Source organism: Homo sapiens, chromosome 8 (assembly GCF_000001405.40).
Source record: "Homo sapiens chromosome 8, GRCh38.p14 Primary Assembly".
In the NCBI taxonomy this organism is placed as follows: domain Eukaryota; kingdom Metazoa; phylum Chordata; class Mammalia; order Primates; family Hominidae; genus Homo; species Homo sapiens.
Window position 1 is genome coordinate 24,155,448 of NC_000008.11, and position 20,439 is coordinate 24,175,886.

At 37.1% G+C, this 20,439-nt stretch overlaps 1 long non-coding RNA gene across 1 annotated transcript in view, besides 1 other annotated feature; it reads left to right on the forward strand.

Moving 5' to 3' along the window:
• The window catches only part of LOC107986931 (uncharacterized), a 290,196-nt gene that overhangs the window by 238,115 nt on the left and 31,642 nt on the right, over positions 1-20,439 (forward strand). The gene's annotated exons all lie outside the window — the stretch shown is intronic.
• Positions 12,256-12,456: a silencer, noted in NCBI's record as "peak6951 fragment used in MPRA reporter construct". NCBI's record gives its function as "represses an SCP1 promoter by STARR-seq MPRAs in K562 erythroleukemia cells {active_cell/tissue: K562}" and the evidence as "EXISTENCE:reporter gene assay evidence [ECO:0000049][PMID:32103011]".

A 20,439-nucleotide genomic window follows, 5' to 3' on the forward strand; every position in this document is an offset into this window, starting at 1 on the left:
CTGAAAGACCCTTGGTTTACCAAGTTTGACTACACTGGAGTGGATACAGTCTAAGCATTATCTAATTTTTTGAAAGTGATCTGAATTTTTTATTTTCCTTTTACTTCCCCATTCTCCTCCATTTTTTATTAGTATCTCCTGGAAAGGAAATAAAGGTTGCATGAGAGGAGAAAAATTCAAGTATGTTATTTTTTTTTCCTCTGTTTACCTGATTCCTGGAAAAAAAAAATCTCAGTTTAGTCAGTACTTGATTCATCTTGCCTAAAGTATTTGACTTGAGGTCTAAACAACTAAGTGGTTTTAGGCATCTTCTCTCATCCTGATTCACTGCTAGGTCAGCAACTTGGTAGACTGACAAAGTAGAAATGGTGTTAGATGAAGAGTTAGCCGGGGCTAGTGCTTAAGTGACAAGTTAGCTTAGAATATAATAATCTGACCATTGAAGCCTTGGCAGTACCTCTTTGCTGGTCTTTAACACAGGAAAGGTGAACTAGACAGTCTCTTTGGTCTTTCTCAGCCCTGTATTATATTGTTTAATTTTTCTACTCAGAGATGACTCAAGTACATGGAAATATCCTTAGGTGTAGTGTTATCTTTCAATAATATCTATTCAATAATCTCTAGCTACAAAATGTTGGTAAGAAAAAGATCCCTTAAAAATGCTTCTGAGTTCTTTGGGGCAGAAGTGCAAGAAGAATGCTTTCTGTAATTAAAAGGGCAGGGGCATTTGTGAGGGCCAGGGAGAAGAGGCTGGGATGTCACCCTAGGCTGAAAATGACTACTATATACACAATGGAACTTGGCAGTCTAGATTGTTTTGGCTTTATTTCCATTCACTTAAAACAAGTATGTGTGGGAAGGAGCTTGTGGGAAATGGGAGTGGAAGAGATATAATTTATTTTGGGTATTGTGTATTAGTCATTTTTTTGTCCACGAAGTCACCACCTGAAAGAAACAAGACAGCAATAGACGTCATTCATAAGCAATACGTTTTGTTTTAGGAGAGACTTTTATGGATGTGATTAAGCCCTGTTAAACATCCTATGCCACTGGGGCCGGAAGCATTCTCATTGTGTATTCTCACTTGTGAAACACCATGACTCAGGAAATACATGAACTTTTAAAACTATTCTGGCTGAATCCATATCTGCTTTGGAAACTAGGAAAGGGCAATAGAATAATCTGATCATTGAAGCCTTGATTATGTAAAAACTGAGTCATAAATCACCCAGATAATTTCCAAAATTTGCTATATCCTTGTTTTGAAAGTAAATAATGTTGCTTTAACATTCAAAAGCAACTTATTTTTTTATTTAACTATAATACTTCAAATTCTGTCCACGGTAATTTACTGGTACATTTGGAGCAATCATTATACACACGTTTACAGTAATTCTTCACAATGTTGCATGTGATGGTCTTAATCTAAAACTGGTGGACAGGATTATTTTTGGAGTAACCTCAGTATTTTGCTAGAAGGAAAATAAAAGTCTTTATAAAAAGAAAGAACAAATAGCCTTTTATTAAAGTAAAGCCCTGGGTTAATATACGTATCCAGAGAACTTATTGACTAAAAAGATACTGCAGAGGACAATCTGAAAGGGTGACAACCATGGATTGAGTGTGTGATGTGAGTTTTTTTCTTTTTTCAAATATGGCCATAATTGTAAAATATTCCAGACTACATTGACACTCCAAATAATGAAACTCATATTTGATTTACATTTTCAAATTTGAAAACACTTTAACATTCTTTTGAGAAACAGCACATGGTAAATAACACCATTTTTTATAAACTTGAGTAAGTAGTGACTTGTCACTTCATCTGGGCATAAAAATCTCTCTTACAGCCTAGAAGTATATGTGCATCACATGATGTTTGTGAAATTAGTTCCAAATACTAGATTGATTTTTTTTTTTTACAACTGGTTCTATCCACAGGGTATATAACTAAATGTAAAATACCAAAATATTTAATTTGACCTACCACTTCTGAGTTTAACAAACACTGTCATGTAACGAAGATCTAAAACCAAAGACAATGGCAAAAGCCAGAACAAATAAATGAGGCCATGTATATCCAAAAATCAACAGAAGGCACTTAACATGACTTGTAAGTGTAATGCTTTTATAAGTTTTTTATTGATTCAAAGAAAACCTCAAGTATAACAAGTTCTTGTAGAGGATCTAAGGTTGGTTGGCAGCACTTGTTATCTGGGTATTCTTTGACATACTCAAGATATAAAATTGATGGGTGACTTTGTGGAGAGTAAGATACAAGGCACTCCTGGAAGGCTTATTTTTCTAACCTTTGTTAATTGACTTAACTAACCTTTGAATTTTAAAGGTTTCAGGCTATCTTCTGATTGATTTTTTTTGTGCCAGTCTCTCATTGTATGATACTTGAAAGTATAAAAAAACTTTGAAAGGTTTGTAAACTGAGAATTGTTCAAGGATCTTTCTAAGAGTGAGCTTTGATTTCCAATGATTTGTTTACCTTCACCATCTATTTTGGAAACATTGCATGTAGTTGAATTAAAAGTATACTTCATCTTATTTTTTAAATATTTAATTTTGTTAAAATATACATAACATAAAATGTGCCATCTTAATCATTTTTAAATGTATACTTTAGTGGTGTGAAGAACATTCACATTGCTCCAGAATGCTTTCTATCCTACAATCAATCTCCAGAATCCTTTTCATCCTACAAGACTAAAATTCTGTACTCATTAAACAATAACTCTATATTCCCCTGATACCCTTGTCAGTCCCCATTCTACTTTGTTTTTAGGGATTTAACTATACCAGGTACCTCATATAAATGGAATTGTACAGTATTTGTCTTTTTGTGACTGGCTCATTTCACTTAGCATAATGTCGTAAAAGTTCATTCATGTTGTAGCGTGTGTCAGAATTTCCTTCCTTTTTAGGGCTGAATAGTAATATTTCATTGTATGCATAAACCACATTTTGTTTATCCATTCATCTGTTGGTAGACACATGGGTTGCTTCCACCTTTTGGCTATTGTGAATAATGTTATTATTCACAGTAGGATGTGAACAAAGGTATATAAATCTCTTGGAGATCATCTCATATATTTGTTTATTATACTTCAAGTTCTGGGATGTATGTGCAGAACGTGCAGGTTTGTAACATAGATATACACATGCCATGGTGGTTTGCTGCACCCATCAACCCGTCATCTACATTAGGTATTTCTCCTAATGCTATACCTCCCCTAGCCCCCCAACAACCGACAGGCCCCGGTGTGTGATGTTCCCCTTCCTGTGTCCAAGTGTTCTCATTGTTCAACTCCCACTTATGAGTGAGAACATGCAGTGTTTGGTTTTCTGTTCTTGTGTTAGTTTGCTGAGAATGATGATTTCTAGCTTCATCCATGTCCCTGCAAAGGACATGAACTCATGGTTTTTTATGGCTGCATAGTATTCCATAGTGTATATGTGCCACATTTTCTTTATCCAGTCTATCATTGATCGACATTTGGGTTGGTTCCAAGTCTTTGCTATTGTGAACAGTGCCACAATAAACATACACGTGCATATGTCTTTATAGTAGAATGATTTATACTCCTTTGGGTATATACCAAATAATGGCGTTGCTGGGTCAAATGGTATTTCTGTTTCTAGATCCATGAGGAATCACCACACTGTCTTCCATAATGGTTAAGCTAATTTACACTCCCACCAACAGTGTAAAAGCATTCTATTTCTCCACATCCTCCCCAGCATCTGTTGTTTCCTGACTTTTTAATGATCATCATTCTAACTGGTGTGAGATGGTATCTCATTGTGGTTTTGATTTGCATTTCTCTGATGACCAGTGATGATGAGCTTTTTTTCATATATCTGTTGGCTGCACAAATGTCTTCTTTTGAGAAGTATCTGTTCATTTCCTTTGCCCACTTTTTGATGGGGTTGTTTTTTATTTCTTGTAAATTTTTTAAGTTCTTTGTAGATTCTGTATATTAGCCCTTTGTCAGATGGATAGATTGCAAAAATTTTTTCCCATTCTGTAGGATGCCTGTTCACTCTGATGACAGTTTCTTTTGCTGTGCAGAAGCTCTTTAGCTTAATTAGATCCCATTTGTCAATGTTGGCTTCTGTTGCCATTGCTTTTGGTGTTTTAGTCAGGAAGTCTTGGCCCATGCCTATGTCCTGAATGGTATTGCCTAGGTTTTCTTCTAGGGTTCTTATGGTTTTAAGTCTTATTTTTAAGTCTTTAATCCATCTTGAGTTAATTTTTGTGTAAGGTGTAAGGAAGGAGTCCAGTTTCAGTTTTCTGCATATGGCTAGCCAGTTTTTCCAACAGCATTTATTGAATAGAGAATCCTTTCCCCATTGCTTGTTTTTGTCAGGTTTGTCAAAGATCAGATGGTTGTAGATGTGTGGTGTTATATCTGAGGCCTCTGTTCTGTTCCATTGGTCTATATATCTGTTTTGGTACCAGTGCCATGCTATTTTGGTTACTGTAGCCTTGTAGTATAGTTTGAAGTCAGGTAGCGTGATGCCTCCAGCTTTGTTCTTTTTGCTTAGAATTGTGTTGGCTATGTGGGCTCTATTTTGGTCCATATGAAATTTAAAGTAGTTTTTTCTAATTCTGTGAAGAAAGTCAATGGTAGCTTGATGGGATAGCATCAAATCTATAAATTACTTTGGGCAGTATGGCCATTTTCACGATATTGATTCTTGCTATCCATGAGCATGGAATATTTTTCCATTTATTTGTGTCCTCTCTTATTTCCTTGAGCAGTGGTTTGTAGTTCTCCTTGAAGAGGTCCCTTCACATCCCTTGTTAGTTGTATTCCTAGGTATTCTATTCTCTTTGTAGCAATTGTGAATAGGAGTTCACTCGTGATTTGGCTCTCTGATTGTCGATTATTGGTGTATAGGAATGCTTGTGATTTTTGCACATTGCTTTTGTATCCTGAGACTTTGCTGAAATTGCGTATCAGCTTAAGAGGATTTTTGGCTGAGATGATGGGGTTTTCTAAATATACAATCATGTCATTTGCAAACAGAGGCAACTTTACTTCCTGTCTTCCTGTTTGAATACCCTTTATTTCTTTATCTTGCCTGATTGCCCTGGACAGAAATTCCAATACTATGTCGAATAGGAGTGGTAAGAGAGGGCATCCTTGTCTTGTGCTGGTTTTCAAAGGGAATGCTTCCAGTTTTTGCCCATTCAGTATGATGTTGGCTGTGATTTGTCATAAATAATTCTTATTTTGAGATACATTCCATCAATACCTAGTTTACTGAGAGTTTTTAGCATGAAGGGGTACTGAATTTTATCAAAGGCCTTTTCTGTGTCTATTGAGATAATCGTGTGGTTTTTGTCATTGGTTCTGTTTATGTGACGGATTATGTTTATCGATTTGCATATGTTGAGGCAGCCTTGCATCTCAGGGATGAAGCTGACTTGATCATGGTGGATAAGCTTTTTGATGTGCTGCTGGATTCAGTTTGCCAGTATTTTATTGAGGATTTTCACATTGATATTCATCAGGGATATTGGCCTGAAATTTTCCTTTTGTTGTTGTTGTGTCTCTGCCAGGTTTTTGTATCAGGATGATGCTGGCCTCGTAAAAGGAGTTAGGGAGGAGTCCATCTTTTTCTACAGTCTGGAATACTTTTAGAAGGAATGGTACCAGCTCCTTTTTGTACCAGTGGTAGAATTTGGCTGTGAATCTGTCTGGTCCTGGACTTTTTTTTTGGTTGGTAGGCTATTACTGCCTCAATTTCAGAAATTGTTATTGGTCTGTTCAAGGATTCTACTTCTTCCTGGTTTAGACTTTGGAGGGTGTAAGTGTCCAGGAGTTTATCCATTTCTTCTAGAATTTCTAGTTTATTTGTGTAGAGGTGTTTGTAGTATTCTATGATGGTAGTTTGTATTTCTGTGGGATCAGTGGTGATATCCCCTTTATCATTTTTTATTGCATCTGTTTGATTCTTCTCTTTTCTTCATTAGTTTGGTTAGCGGTCTATCTATTTTGTTGATCTTTTCAAAAAACCAGCTCCTGGATTCATTGATATTTTGAAGGGTGTTTCATGTCTCCATCTTCTTCAGTTCCGCTCTGATCTTAGTTACTTCTTGTCTTCTGCTAACTTTAGAAATTGTTTGCTCTTGCTTCTCTAGTTCTTTTAATTGTGACATTAAGGTGTCGATTTTAGATCTTTCCTGCTTTCTCTGGTAGGCATTTAGTGCCATAAATTTCCCTCTAAACACTGCTTTAGCTGTGTCCCAGAGATTCTGGTACATTGTGTCTTTGTTCTCATCGGTTTCAAACAACTTATTTATTTCTGTCTTAATTTTGTTATTTACTGAGTAGTCATTCAGGAGCAGGTTGTTCAGTTTCCATGTAGTTGTGTGGTTTTGAGTGAGTTTCTTAATCCTGAGTTCTAATTTGATTGCACTGTGGTCTGAGAGACTGTTTGTTATAATTTCTGTTCTTTTGCATTTGCTGAGGAGTGTTTTACTTGCAATTATATGGTCAATTTTAGAAAAGCGTGATGTGCTGAGAAGAATGTATATTCTGTTGATTTGGGGTGGAGAGTTCTATAGATGTCTATTAGGTCCACTTGGTACAGAGCTGAGTTCAAGTCCTGAATATCCTTGTTAATTTTCTGTCTCATTGATCTAATATGGACAGTGGGGTGGGTGTTAAAGTCTCCCACTATTATTGTGTAGGAGTCTAATTCTCTTTGTAGGTCTCTAAGAACTTGCTTTATGAATCTGGGTGCTCCTGTACTGGGTGCATATATATTTAGGATAGTTAGCTCTTCTTGTTGCATTGATCCCTTTACTATTATGTAATGCCCTTCTTTATCTCTTTTGATCTTTGTTGGTTTAAAGTCTGTTTTTTCAGGGAGACTAGGATTGCAACCCCTGCTTTTTTTGCTCTCCATTTGCTTGGTAGATCTTCCTCCATCTCTTTATTTTGAGCCTATGTGTGTCTTTGCACATGAGATGGGGCTCCTGAATACAGCACACTGATGGCTCTTGACTCTTTATCAAATTTGCCTGTCTGTGTCTTTTAATTGGGGCATTTAGCCCATTTACATTTAAGGTTAATATTGTTATGTATGAATTTGATCCCGTCATTATGATGCTAGCTGGTTATTTTGCCTGTTAGTTGATGCAGTTTCTTCATAGCGCCAATGGTCTTTACAATTTGGTATGTGTTTGCAGTGGTTTTTACCAATTGTTCCTTTCCATGTTTAGTGCTTCCTTCAGGAGCTCTTGTAAGGCAGGCCTGGTGGTGACAAAATCTCTCAGCATTTGCTTGTCTGTAAAGGATTTTATTTCTCCTTCTCTTAGGAAGCTTAGTTTGTCAGGATATGAAATTCTGGGTTGAAAATTCTTCTCTTTAAGAATGTTGAGTATTGGCCCCCACTCTCTTCTGGCTTGTAGGGTTTCTGCTGAGTGATCTGCTGTTAGTCTGATGGGCTTCTCTTTGTGGGTAACCCAAACTTTCTCTCTGGCTGCACTTAACATTTTTTCCTTCGTTTTAACCTTGGTGAATCTGATGATTATGTGTCTTGGGGTTGCTGTTCTCAAGGAGTATTTTTGTGGTGTTCTCTGTATTTCCTGAATTTAAATGTTGTCCTGTCTTGCTAGGTTGGGGAAGTTCTCCTGCATAATAATCTGAAGAGTGTTTTCCAGCGTGGTTCCATTCTCCCCGTCACTTTCATGTACACCAAGCAAACGTAGGTTTGATCTTTCCACATAGTCCCGTGTTTCTTGGAGGCTTTGTTCATTCCTTTTCATTCTTTTTTCTCTAATCTTGTCTTCACACCTTCTTTAAGTTGATCTTCAATCTCTGATATCCTTTCTTCTGCTTGATCAATTTGGCTATTGATACTTGTGTATGCTTCACGAAGTTCTCATGCTGTGTTTTTCAGCTCCATCAGGTCATTTATGTTCTTCTCTGAACTGGTTATTCTAGTTAGCAATTCATCTAATAACCTTTTTTCAAGGTTTTAGCTTCCTTGCATTGGGTTAGAACATGCTCCTTTAGCTTGGAGGAGTTTATTATCCACCTTCTGAAGCCTACTTCTATCAATTCATCAAACTCATTCTCCATCCAGTTTTGTTCCCTTGCTGGTGAGGAGTTGTGATCCTTTGGAGGAGAAGAGGCTTTCTGGGTTTTGGAATTTTCAGCCTTCTTGTGTGGGTTTCTCCCCATCTTTGTGGACTTATTTACTTTTAGTCTTTCATTTGGTGACCTTCTGATGTGGTTTCTGAGTGGATGTCTTTTTTGTTGATGTTGATGGTATTCCTATCTGCTGTTAGTTTTCCTTCTAACAGCCAGGCCCGTCCGCTGCAGGTCTGCTGGAGGTCCACTTCAGATCCTGTTTGCCTGAGTATCACCAGCAGAGGCTGCCGAACAGCAAAGATTGCTGCCTGTTCCTTGGTCTGGAAGCTTTGTCCCAGAGGGGCACCTGCCAGGTGCCAGCGAGATCTCTCCTGTATGAGGTGTCTGTCGGCCCCTGCTGGGAGGTATCTCCCAGTCAGGAGACATGGGGGTCAGGGACCTTCTTGACGTGGCAGTCTGACCCTTAGCAGAGCTCAAATGCTGTGCTGGGAGATCCGCCACGGTCTTCAGAGCCAGCAGGCAGGGACGTTTAAATTGGCTGAAGCTGGGCCCACAGCCACCCCTTCTCCTAGGTGCTCTGTCCCAGGGAGATGAGAGTTTTATCCATAAGACCCTGACTGGGGCTGCTGCCTTTTTTTTGGAGATGCCCTGCCCAGAAAGCCAGCTCATATTTTTAATAAAATTTTTTTTCCTAAATATTGGAGAAGAAACAACTTTTGAGACAGTCAATCTAAAATATACACTTAATTCTTTCTTAATAAATTCTGAGCAGATTATATAGATGAACTATTCCCTGAATGATCAGTGTTACGACCTCTCTTCCTTGTGAGGACTTCCTGCGTGACAAACTATATTGACCTGATATTGACCTTTCATTTGCATTTAATGCATAAACAAAAAAAGTTATAGGTGAAATTAAATAAGATCAGTTGAGACCCCTGATTTTTAAAGCAAAATCAAAACGTGTGCTTGATTCTGCTTTGAGAATCATGGATAATTGGAATGAACATTGGAATGATCTTTAAATAGATCAGATATGTTCCCAATGAAGTAAAATGTGTTCTCATTTCACCTTTTAAATTTTACCTTACTGACTTAAGAGCACTCCCTTCACTATTATCATTTCATTAATTCAGTCATGCATTCTATTCCATTCTACGAATCTTTATAGAGCTCCCACTGTTTCAGGCACTTTTCTAGGTGCTCAGCATATAGCTATAAACAATACAACAAGGTCCTAGCCTATATAATTACTTATGTTAGATACTGACATATATTTAAAATAAACAAGTAATAATTCATAAATAACAAATCGCTTGGTGGAAAGTGAGTAAGCCTTACAAAGGACATAGGGTGGGCAATATTGTAGCTTGCATTTTATTGGCAGTGCAATAGAAAGTTCCTGGCTAGTTCTGAGAAGCAGAGTACCATGCTCTGCTTTAAGCTTTTAAATGCCACTCTGGCTTTTGAATGGAGAAGAGAACTTGAGGGCCCAAGAGTAAGGGCAGAATCCCAGGGACCAGTTAGGAAGCGTTGCATTAGTCTAGATGAGTAATAATAGTGACCTATCGTGGGACTTCACCTTGTGATCCTGTGAGTCAATTCTCCTTAATAAACTCCCTTTCATATATACGTATATTCTATTAGTCTGTCCCTGTAGAGAACCCTAATACAAGCATATTGATAGTAGTAGTGACAGTTACACATGCCAGTTAAATTTGGGGTGTCTGTTACTTGTGGCTCTCAAGTCCCACGATAGGTCATCAGCAAGCTGAGGAGCAAGGAAGCTAACACTGGCTCAGTCCAAGTCCCAAAACCTCAAAAGTAGGGAAGCCAACAGTGCAGCCTTCAGTCTGTTGCCAAAGATCCAAGAGCCCCTGGAAAACCACTGGTGTAAGTCCAAGAGTCCAAAAGCCGAAGAACTTGGAGTCTGATGTTCAAGGGCAGGAAGCATCCAGCACGGGAGAAAGATGAAGGCCAGAAGACTCAGCAAGTTTGCTATTTCCACCTTCTCCTGCCTGCCTTCTCCTGCCTGCACTGGCATCCAATTGGATGGTGCCCACCCATATTGAGGGTGAGTCTACCTCTCTCACTCCACTGACTCAAATGTTAATCTTCTCTGGCAACACTGTCACAGACACACCCAGGAACAATACTTTGCATCTTTCAGTCCAATCAACTTGACAATATTAACCATCACAATGCTTAAATGTGCTTTTGGCCATTTGTGTGTGTCTTTTGTTTTTTAATTTACCTCCTGTCAGAGTGCTTATTTTTCTGGTTTAGTTTTTTTCCTTATCAATGTACAATAACTTTTAATATATTAAAGAAATTAAACATTTTGAGTGAGGTATAATGAGAAGCATTTATTTTTCACATTTTAAAATTTGCCCTCAAAGTTTAATGATTTTATCATACAGATATTTTACATTTTTATATAGTCAAATATAAAAATATCATGTTGAATTCTTTTCAGTTTTTCCTGAAGGTGGAGGGTGGGAGGAAAGAGAGGAGCAAAAACAAATAAATAAATAAAATAACTATTGAGTACCAGGGTTAATACCTGGTTGATGAAATAATCTGTACAACAAACCTTTAGGACACAAATTTACCTATATAAGAAACCTTCACATGTACCACTGAACCTAAAATGAAAGTTACAAAAAAGAAACAATAACCCTGTCTACCTAGAGGAGACTAAGTAATTTCATATGTGTTTTCTTCTATCTTAAAAGATTTATTTGATTTTTTATAATATTTATAGAAATAAATACACCTTAAAAGTAAACAAAAATATCGTTAATCAAACACAATAACCCATTACCTTGATATTTATAATTTCAGAGTCTGTAAACAATGTTATATTGTACTGTTTTAACGTATTTTCACCAAATAAATATATTGCACATTTTTTATATCATCTCATACTTTTTATAACATTTTAATAACTTCAATATATCTTTATTTCACTTATTATATTCAGGTACGCTCTGTGTTGGATGTTTTCAATTTTCTTCTAGTGTAAACGGTGTTGCTAAGATACATTGGTAAGGAAATTTTTATGGATGTTCATGACTATTTCCTTAGCATCTTCTTCTAACGTAAGTTTGTATGTCAGCAGTACTTCTATTGTAAAACCTTGAGCAGGGTGACAGAAGAGTACTTTTGAAGTTGGACTGTGAAAGCAGCCTGCCTTAGTTAGACCCCTGGTCCTGCCCCCTGCTAGCTATGTCACCTAGGAATGTCACAAATACCCTCTGTGTGTCATTTTTCTCACTTCTGTAGTGTCCACCATCTATAATAATACCTACACCTCAAGACTGTTATGAAGATTAAGTGAGCTAATATACACAGTAGCTTAAAAGAATGTCTTGGCATTCAGTGAGAAATTTATTTCTTACTATGTACTGCTGAATTGTCCTAAATATGGTGTCCGTTTACAATTTTTAAAAATATATAAAAATTCCTATTTATACAGTCTTGTTATTTTATTTTTAAAATCCCATTTGAAAATTTAAAATGTTGTATTACTGTTTTAATTTGCATCTACTTAGCTTTCTAGGAAAAATGAACATTTTAAATCTATGTTAATTGCTGATATATATTTATCCATTTCTGAATTGTTTGCTTAGGCATTTTCCAAAATTTCCATTGGGATATTTATTTGTCCCTTATTTATTAAGATTTTAAAGATGTATTGATATTAACTCTTATATGCTGCAAATATTATCTCCTGTCAGATGTTAATTTTTCACCCAACATTTATTTAGGGGAAGAAACTGTGGTATCACACTCTTTTATAAAAATACTTTAACACCAGCATGTTCACTAAATTGCTGGAAACTTGTAGACATTATGTGAGTTAAGTATAAAGTTGACAGATTCAAGTTAATAAGGCAAAAGCTTGAATTTAGAATTAAATTTAGAATTAAATTTTTTTAATGAAAGAATATTTCGTAATATATTTTAAGTAGGATATGTGTATGAGAGAGAGAGAGATAAGAGAAAATTGAGTCTTCTTGGCAATTCTTGATAAGATTTAAACCATACCTAGTTGGCCCTATAAACAGAGACTTCCAGGTGGCTGTCTGGAGTAGTTCTATGAAATAAGATAGGCACTTCACCAAAGCTGCAGTTGTTTGAGTGTTAAGACCTGCAAGGGGAAGTAGAGTGCCTTCCCTGGGAAGACAAGACCCAGTTTTCTTGGAGACACACAGGCAGCAAGATTAAAGTCTAATCTCTTTTCCATTGGTGTGCACCAATTCAGCTGAGAGTGTGAAAATCTCTATTCCTCTCTACTATCTTTAGCTACCACTCCCTGCCATTTCATTACCCACAGGAACAGTCTAGGAGGAAAAATTAAAACTTGCTTAGTTTCCTATCTTGTGAGCCTGTATTTCTAGTGTAAAATCCCACTCATTTGAAGGACAAAATATCCTCTAGATCCATCTTTGAAATTTAGAAAGCTAGTCTTTATTACAATAAGGCAAAAGTAATCCCTAAAGCTGAAATTTTAGAAAGATTTACAAATACATTCATCTTAAAAATTAATGGTTCCATTATTTATATGTTTGTCTTCAGTTCATCTGCTGCATATTTGGGCTCATGGCAAAATAAGATTCTTAATTTACTTTCAAATGATTAGTCAGTCTTTCCAGTTCCATTAATTTGAAACACACTAATTCAGCATGCCTTCAGAATATGATATTTATATTCATATATAAAGTGAACTTTACTACTACACCAGTACAAATACTGTTTTTATCATCATGAATTTTTTGTATGTTTTACTGTCTGGGAGGCTAGTAAGTGCCCTCCTTCTGACTCTTGTCATTTAACATTTTATTGGCTGATCTTTCTATTCTTCCCAAAAAGAAGTGTTGAACTTAGGAGAAAAAAAATTAAAACTGTTCCTTCCAGAAGGAATTTTTCTTCTAATTTTTGAAAAAAATCTATATAAATGTGTTGGGGATAGCTGTTTATGGCATTTTCCCATCTGAGAATATTACACACATATATAATTAAGATGTTATTTTATGTCCCTGAAAAGAATGTAATAATACTCTGAATATTTTGATAATATATGGATATACAATGACTATGCATTTTTGGATATTTAATATTTTAAAATTTGAATAATCAATGAGATATGGCCTTTCTCATGTACCCTACCAGAGAGTTACTGATAAATAGCAAGAGTACTAGTTGTCACACATTTATTTTTCATCTGGATATATGAGCAAATTACCTTGGTTTAAATAGTACTTTATTCTCTCTAAATTTCTAGATAGATAATTATATTATCTGCAGACAGGTGATGTTACTCTTTCCTTTTCTAATAGCAATTACTTGTTTTCTTTAGAACTCTCTCACCTAGCATGAACTTCCAAGATATTGTTAAGTAACTGCAGTGAAAATTAATTTACCTTAAAGTTTTGCTGTAGTTTAAGACTTTTTATCATGTTAAAGAAAAATAATCTTCTTTAACAGTTAGGAATGGGAGTTCATTCTTATCAAATTTTAATTAAAAATGATTATTCAGTCCAGGCACAGTGTCTCACACCTGTAATCCCAGCCCTTTAAGAGGCTGATGTGGGCGGATTGCTTGAGCCCAGAAATTCTAGACCAGCCTGGGCAACATAGCGAGATCCTGTCACTACAAAAAGTATTAAAATTAGCCAGGCATGGTGGTGCACATAGTCCCAGCTACTTGGGAGACTGAGGCAAGAGAATCACCTGAGTCCAGAAGTTGAGGCTGCAGTGAGCCATGATCACAGCACTGCACTCCAGACTGGGTGACAGAGTGAAACCCTGCCTCAAAAAAAAAAAAAAAATTCAGTACTTTCTATGACCCCTATCCTAAGAACTTTACCTATATGATTCCACTGCAACCTCACCTCTATAAATCAGGACTCTTATAACTCCAGTTATACAAATTAGGATATTATATTTTAAATAATTAGAAAACTTTTCAAGTACTATGTTTGAAAGTAGTCGCTGAGTTTCAGATTTCTACTCTTAATATCCTTTACTCTTTCTTATTGGGACATTTATAAACATAATTGTATTATTCATCTCCTTTGATGTATCATTGTAATGAATTATAGTAATTAACACTTCCATTAAAATTTTTTCTTTGAATTCCCAAAATTGGCCATGCTAGTTGCTATCTGCATAGTATTAGACTTTGGTTGATAGCACTTCCAGATAGTAAGCCAGTCCCACTATCTTGAAATTCTGTCTTCATTTGGCTTCTGAAACCAAACACTTCCAGGTTTTCTTTCTTGCTCACATACCAAGCCTTTCAATTTTCTTTTCTGGGTCATTTTTCTCTTCCTTGTGTCCACATGTTAAATATTCCTAAGACTCAGTGCTTACATTCTTATTTTCTCAAATTATACCCTCTTTGTAGATCATCTTTTCTGGTCTTGTGGCTTTAAATGTCACCTGCATGCTAACAATATTTAAATGTTTCCGGTTTCAGTTTACCCCACTGAGCTCCAGGATTGTTGATTTAACCAACTTCTTGATTTCTTCATTTGGATTATCTAAGAGAAATTCAAAGTTGGCATAGTCAAAATAAAACTTTAGATAAGTATATATTTTAGTGATTAAAAAGAAGAAAATATGTTTTATATCTACATTAATTTTTTACCATTTCAAACACTCTTCCACATGTCTGTCTAGTATCATATGCCTTCTTCCTGAATAATTTTCTTTAACATTTTGTGTAGCTCAGATATTTTGGCAAGTAATCCTTTAAGATTTTGCTTGTCTGAAAATATTTTATATTTTATCTTCATTTTTGAAGGATACTTTTGCTGGGTATAGAATTCTACATTGCCTTTTTTTTCCATTACTGTAAAAAATGTCACTGCATTGTCCTCTGAATTAAATGATTTCTGCTGTTGTTCTTATCTTCGTTTTTTGTATGCAATGTGTTTTGATTTTTTCCTGACTTTTGCAGATTTTTTTTTATTCTTCTTCGATAGCTTTACTATATCTCTGTTTGGTATTTATCCTGCTTGGCTTTCTCTGAGCTTTTTGGATCTATGGTTTGATATCTTTTGTTGTGTCTTCAAATATTTCTTCTGCCTCATTTTTCTCTCCTAGTATTTTAACTACATGTTAATGAGATAAGGAAATATTATCCAATATTGGGTGGTCCTTGTTTTATGAATTTTTTTCTCTGTGTTTCAATTTGAACATATTAAAATTAATCTATACTGACACATTTTTAGTTCACTGATTATTTTACAGCTTGTGGTAAATCTGGTGATCCCATCAAAAGAATGCTTTATCTCTGATATTGTGTGTATGCATATGTATGCGTATTTATAATATTTTCATCTGATTTTTTCTAATTTTTCTGCTGAAGTTTCCCACGTGTTTATTCATTTTTTTCCATGTTTTCTGCTAAGGGTTTTGGCATATTAGTCATAGTTATTTCAAATTCCAAACTCTCTCACTGTTACTCTCAGTGCCTGAATTATCTCCGAATCTAGTTATATTGTCTGCTTTAGCTCTTGACCCAGTTGTTTTTCCTTGCTCTATTTTTCGTCTCTGGATTTTTTATTGAATTCTGAAAATGATGTAGTAAAGACTGAGATATACTGTATTCATGGCTGGAAACAGGCATGTCAGGCTGTTGTTGTGGAGACTTGACTTATTCTAGTCAGGAGTTGAGTTATCTTTGGGTTTTGTTGTTGCTATCATTACCTCCAGTAAACCACAGGTTTCAAAGTTCTCTAACAATGGTCTGCTGTTATCTTGTAGTAAGAGTGGGGAATGGGATACCAAAAGGTTTTTATGAATGCCAGAAATGATGGATAATACCAACCCTTATACTATATATATTAATACTATACCGTATTTTTTCCTAAACACACATACCTATGATAAATTTAATTTATAAGTTAGGCATAAGAGATTAACAACAATAATAGAGAAAAGTTATAACAATATACTGTAATAAAAATCAAATGAATGTGGTCTCTCTCTCTCTCTCTCTCTCTCAAAATATCTTCTGGTATTATACTCTCCTATTTTCAAACCATGGTTGACTGTGGGTGACTGAAACTGTGGAAGGTGAAATTATGTATAAGGGGGCACTATTGCTTTTCTTTTCCACCTTTCCTTCAGTTTTTAACCATCCTGGTGTGTCTCAGCCACAGAGAGGGCTCTTCCAGAGTCTTTCCCTCTCCCAAAAGTAGACTGCTCTTGTTACTTAGTACTGGGTTCATGGTAGGGGAAGCAAAGTCCTCTGTTACCCTGCTCCAGTTTCAGGCTTAGCCTAACTCAGTGCATGTCAGTCTTATATTTACAGCTATCTCAATGTTCTTACACATCCTTTCCATTGCAGAAATTATCTGTTTTTATCTGTAGTCATTTTTGGGCAAGAGAGAGTTTACTGCCCTTCTGCTAGTGGTAGCAGACTTCTGCTTAGCATTGGTGTACGATCCTAAATCAGAGGTGATGTTCCACCCTTCTGCCACAGGTAGAATAATATTTTTTAAACATATTTCTCCAAGCAACAATGGTTTCTCCAAGTGTCTTTATCTAGAAACAGCAATGTGTTCTATGGTTAGAAAGACTTCCTATTTCTCCCTCAGAGGGGAGACAGATTTTTTTCTATTCATTTCCTAGAATCAGTCATTCTTTGCCTGTGCTCTGAGTCAAAAATGTTTGCTGCTGTCTTCCAGTAGCCTATGTGTTTGCTTCTGATGAGAATGTTATGTAAGTAGTCGAAAGACATCTTCTATTGGCTGTAGATTGTTTATTTCCTCAAGGCTCATGATAATGGTATCATTAGCCCAGAGGAAAACTCAAATTTTTACACATTCAATTGCTTAAAAATGTAGTCCAAATAAGCATATTTTTAGTGAGTTAGAGTCTGCCTGCTTTGCATATCCCAGAACATTTCACTCAACATCTACTAGCCTTAGTTAGATAAGACAAATTCTGGAGTTATAAAAGACTCTAAGCCACTGCTGTCCTTTGAAAATCTTGGTCCTAGAGACTTCTCATGTTGCTGCTTTGTGACATCATGTAGATACACAAGCCCCTCACCAATTACCCTCTCTTGCCCTTGCCCTAGTTTCCTTCTGGATGGTAGTCCTGTGCCATTGTCACTGGAAGGTCTCATGCTGTAATATGCGCCCCTCATGCCCCACCACACATACACATGAAAACCTGTCAAGGTACCACCCTAATAAAACTCATTGTTTGTTAATGCCCCCTTGCTATCATATATATATTTTTTTTATCAGCCCTGAAATCCTGAACTCGCTTCAAGTGGCAATGAAGATGAGGTGATTTTTGGTTATGATCAAGGAATTCATATGGGGGTCTACCCAGTTAGTGAAACAATCATTGGAAAGCCCATACGTTAGTTTGGTATAACATTGCTCCATGCTGTATTGTACTCTTAATATTTTACATGTACCCCCATACCTTATTAGCCTGGCCAAGCAGGAGCACCAATAACTGAGTAAATCCCCACCATTAGAATTGACTTTTGGAGTCAGAGGCCCAGGAAAAGTGGTTAGTGCTCCTGTCTGGGTCCCCCACCAGGAAGGTGCTAGATGTTGTAAGACCTGCAGGCCTAAATAGAAAAGAGGGAGAAGTACACACTTCTAGACCAAGGGTTGCCTATCTGTGACCCTGTAACAGCCTACAGTGGCAAGAGCTCCTTTTAGCCAGTGATTTGGGGTGTGCTGAGACAAGAGGATATCCTTATTCTTGGGGACCACTACAGCAGGTAAATGAGACAGTGAGGCAGAGACATCAGGCTGAGGCCAGGCTCCTGAGCCTAGCTGGAGGAGTAGCCTTTGGAAGCAGCTAGCACACCTCCGTGATACTCAGTTATGCTGTGTGATGTTGTCATTATAGTTTCTCCTTGGAGGGATATTGAGATCCCAAACCTGGGGCCAAACTAGCCTAAGTGTTACTTCAAGTGAATAAAAGCAAGGCAATTTACATCTTTGTTCCTTCCAGAACTTTAAAGTAGCCACTGCCCTGGTGAGCACATGCTCCAAACTACAACTCATGTGCTGGTCCTTGTTCATGGCAGCTTCTTACCAAGAGGCCACGCAGAGAGTGAGGAGGGGCCTGAAGTCCTGGGGGAGATGTTATGAGGAGAGGAACCTGGGCAGGAGGATTTGTGCTCTCTAGCACAGTGTCACCAGGACTGGGACTGAGATAATTTACCCTCTACTTGACAGTGACCACCCACTAAGTAATGAAGACAGAAAAATCAGAAGGAGAGGGCCAATAAAGAGGACGAGGTTATCACTTGGATGAGGAAACATGGCCTTTCTTTTACACTGAGACCCAGTTTCTCTTTAAGGAGCTAGCCTGCGAAACAAATGAAAAGGGGCAGCCTGGCCACATAGACTGTGTTTGGTGGAGAGTAAGCTCTACCTAACAGGAGCTAAATTTAAACGATTAGCTGTCATAGTATTAGATGCAAAAATGGTATTCCTATTAAAGGATCCTGTAAAATTAGTGCAGAAGGTAGGAATGACCCACATATGAAGCTCTGGTCTTGGTCCACAGATGCCTTGATGATGTAGACTTTTATGACTTGGGCAAGTATTCAGCCTACATGAGACCTCATAACAGCCTGGGCAGAGTGTCAACGGAAGATTTTAGCTGAGGCCAAAAATCCTCTCCATCAATTGGGGATATTAGAACGGGCTTATCAGTCAACAGACCGCATGTAATATGATGACTTGGCAAGTCTGGCTGAGTCTGAAATAGGTCGAGTCTATCCAGCTGTTTCTTGGATTGGGGAGTGGTCCTGAAAAACATAAGTTGTTGTTAGTGGCAATGATGGCTAATACTAAAATAATTCGAGAGGCCATACATACCCGGATTTAAAAGAAGCTCACAGAGCCACATCTCAGGATAACCCGCAAAAATTAAATAGCCCAGGGACTGGAACTCATGGCCAAATCTCATGCCTGGATTACTTACTGGCTGAAGAAGCAGGTGTACCTGCTAACACATCTTTCTGTAGGTAACACTCACTAAGTTTTACAGATAGCCAGGAACAGGTACCAAAGGGGTCATAATGATACTCTACTCACTAAAAGATTAAATAAATCAAAGTCTTTTCCTCTTCTAATCTATTCTCCAGACTTTCTTCCACTAAATGGGCAGACTACCCGAAAACAGAATTTGAAACTGTAGCATGTGACCTTATAGGGTCATTAGAATGCTTTACCACTCACTGGATCCAAACTCAGGCTTTATGAAGTAATACACAACTAGGATTGTAAAACAACATGGGGCAAAGGGATGGGTTGCTATATACATGAGCCAAAAATAGCCCTGTGTTGTTTATTTCTTCACACCAAGCTGGGACCACTGAGCTCAAAAACCTGTCAGAACTAAATCCAAATTTTTGTATATCCAGTTGCTTTAAATATATCCCAAATGAGCATATTTTTAGCTATTTGTGAACCTACCTTTGCATATTCCATAAAACAGCACCCAATATCTGCTAGCCATAGATTACACAAACCCTAGGATTTAAAAATACCTCAAGCTGCAGAATTCTCTGGCCTAGAGACTCGCCATCATGCTGGACACTAAATTCCCTTTCCAATTTCTTTCCCCTGAGAGATCTCTTGACCTCTTGCCCCTGTGTGTAGTCCACCCCACCCCCATTGTCTCTGGAAGATCTCTTTCAGAGGGGGAATTTACCTCCTCAGGCCAAATTATCAAAGTACCCACTGTCCCCCAAACAGAGCTCCTGTGTGTTACTACTGCTTGGTGGTCCTATCTTTCCCGTTGATCAGCCTGCAAATTCCTGAATTCACTTCAGGAAAGAAAGGTCTGGGGAAGTAGACAGGGCTTTTTACTGCCTCATCCCTACCCCAAAGCCTGTCTGCTAAGACCCAAATGTGGAAGAGATTCCCAAAATAAATAGTGAGATGGATAGATTATGGGGACATCTTGGGAATGACCAAGTTTCCATCCACTTTAAGTAAATGGTGAGAGAGAAAATGAAGCTGCGTTTTATTACATACCATGAATTGGGCTTAAGTTCAGTGGCTAGGTTATATTCACAGTATCTCCTGAGTTTGACCACATTCTACTACTTCCTCTGCTGCCTCTCCAGATTAAAGCACTGTGATATTTTCTCTGGACAATTACAACAGTCTTCCTGATATTCCTATGAAAGGATCCTGTAAAATTTGTGTCCTTGCAACTCAGATACCCTACTCCCATGATGTCTGATGTCTATTCTCTAAGTGACAGTTTTTAAAAATATAAGTCAAATTATTTCACTTGACTGCCAAATCCCCCCAAA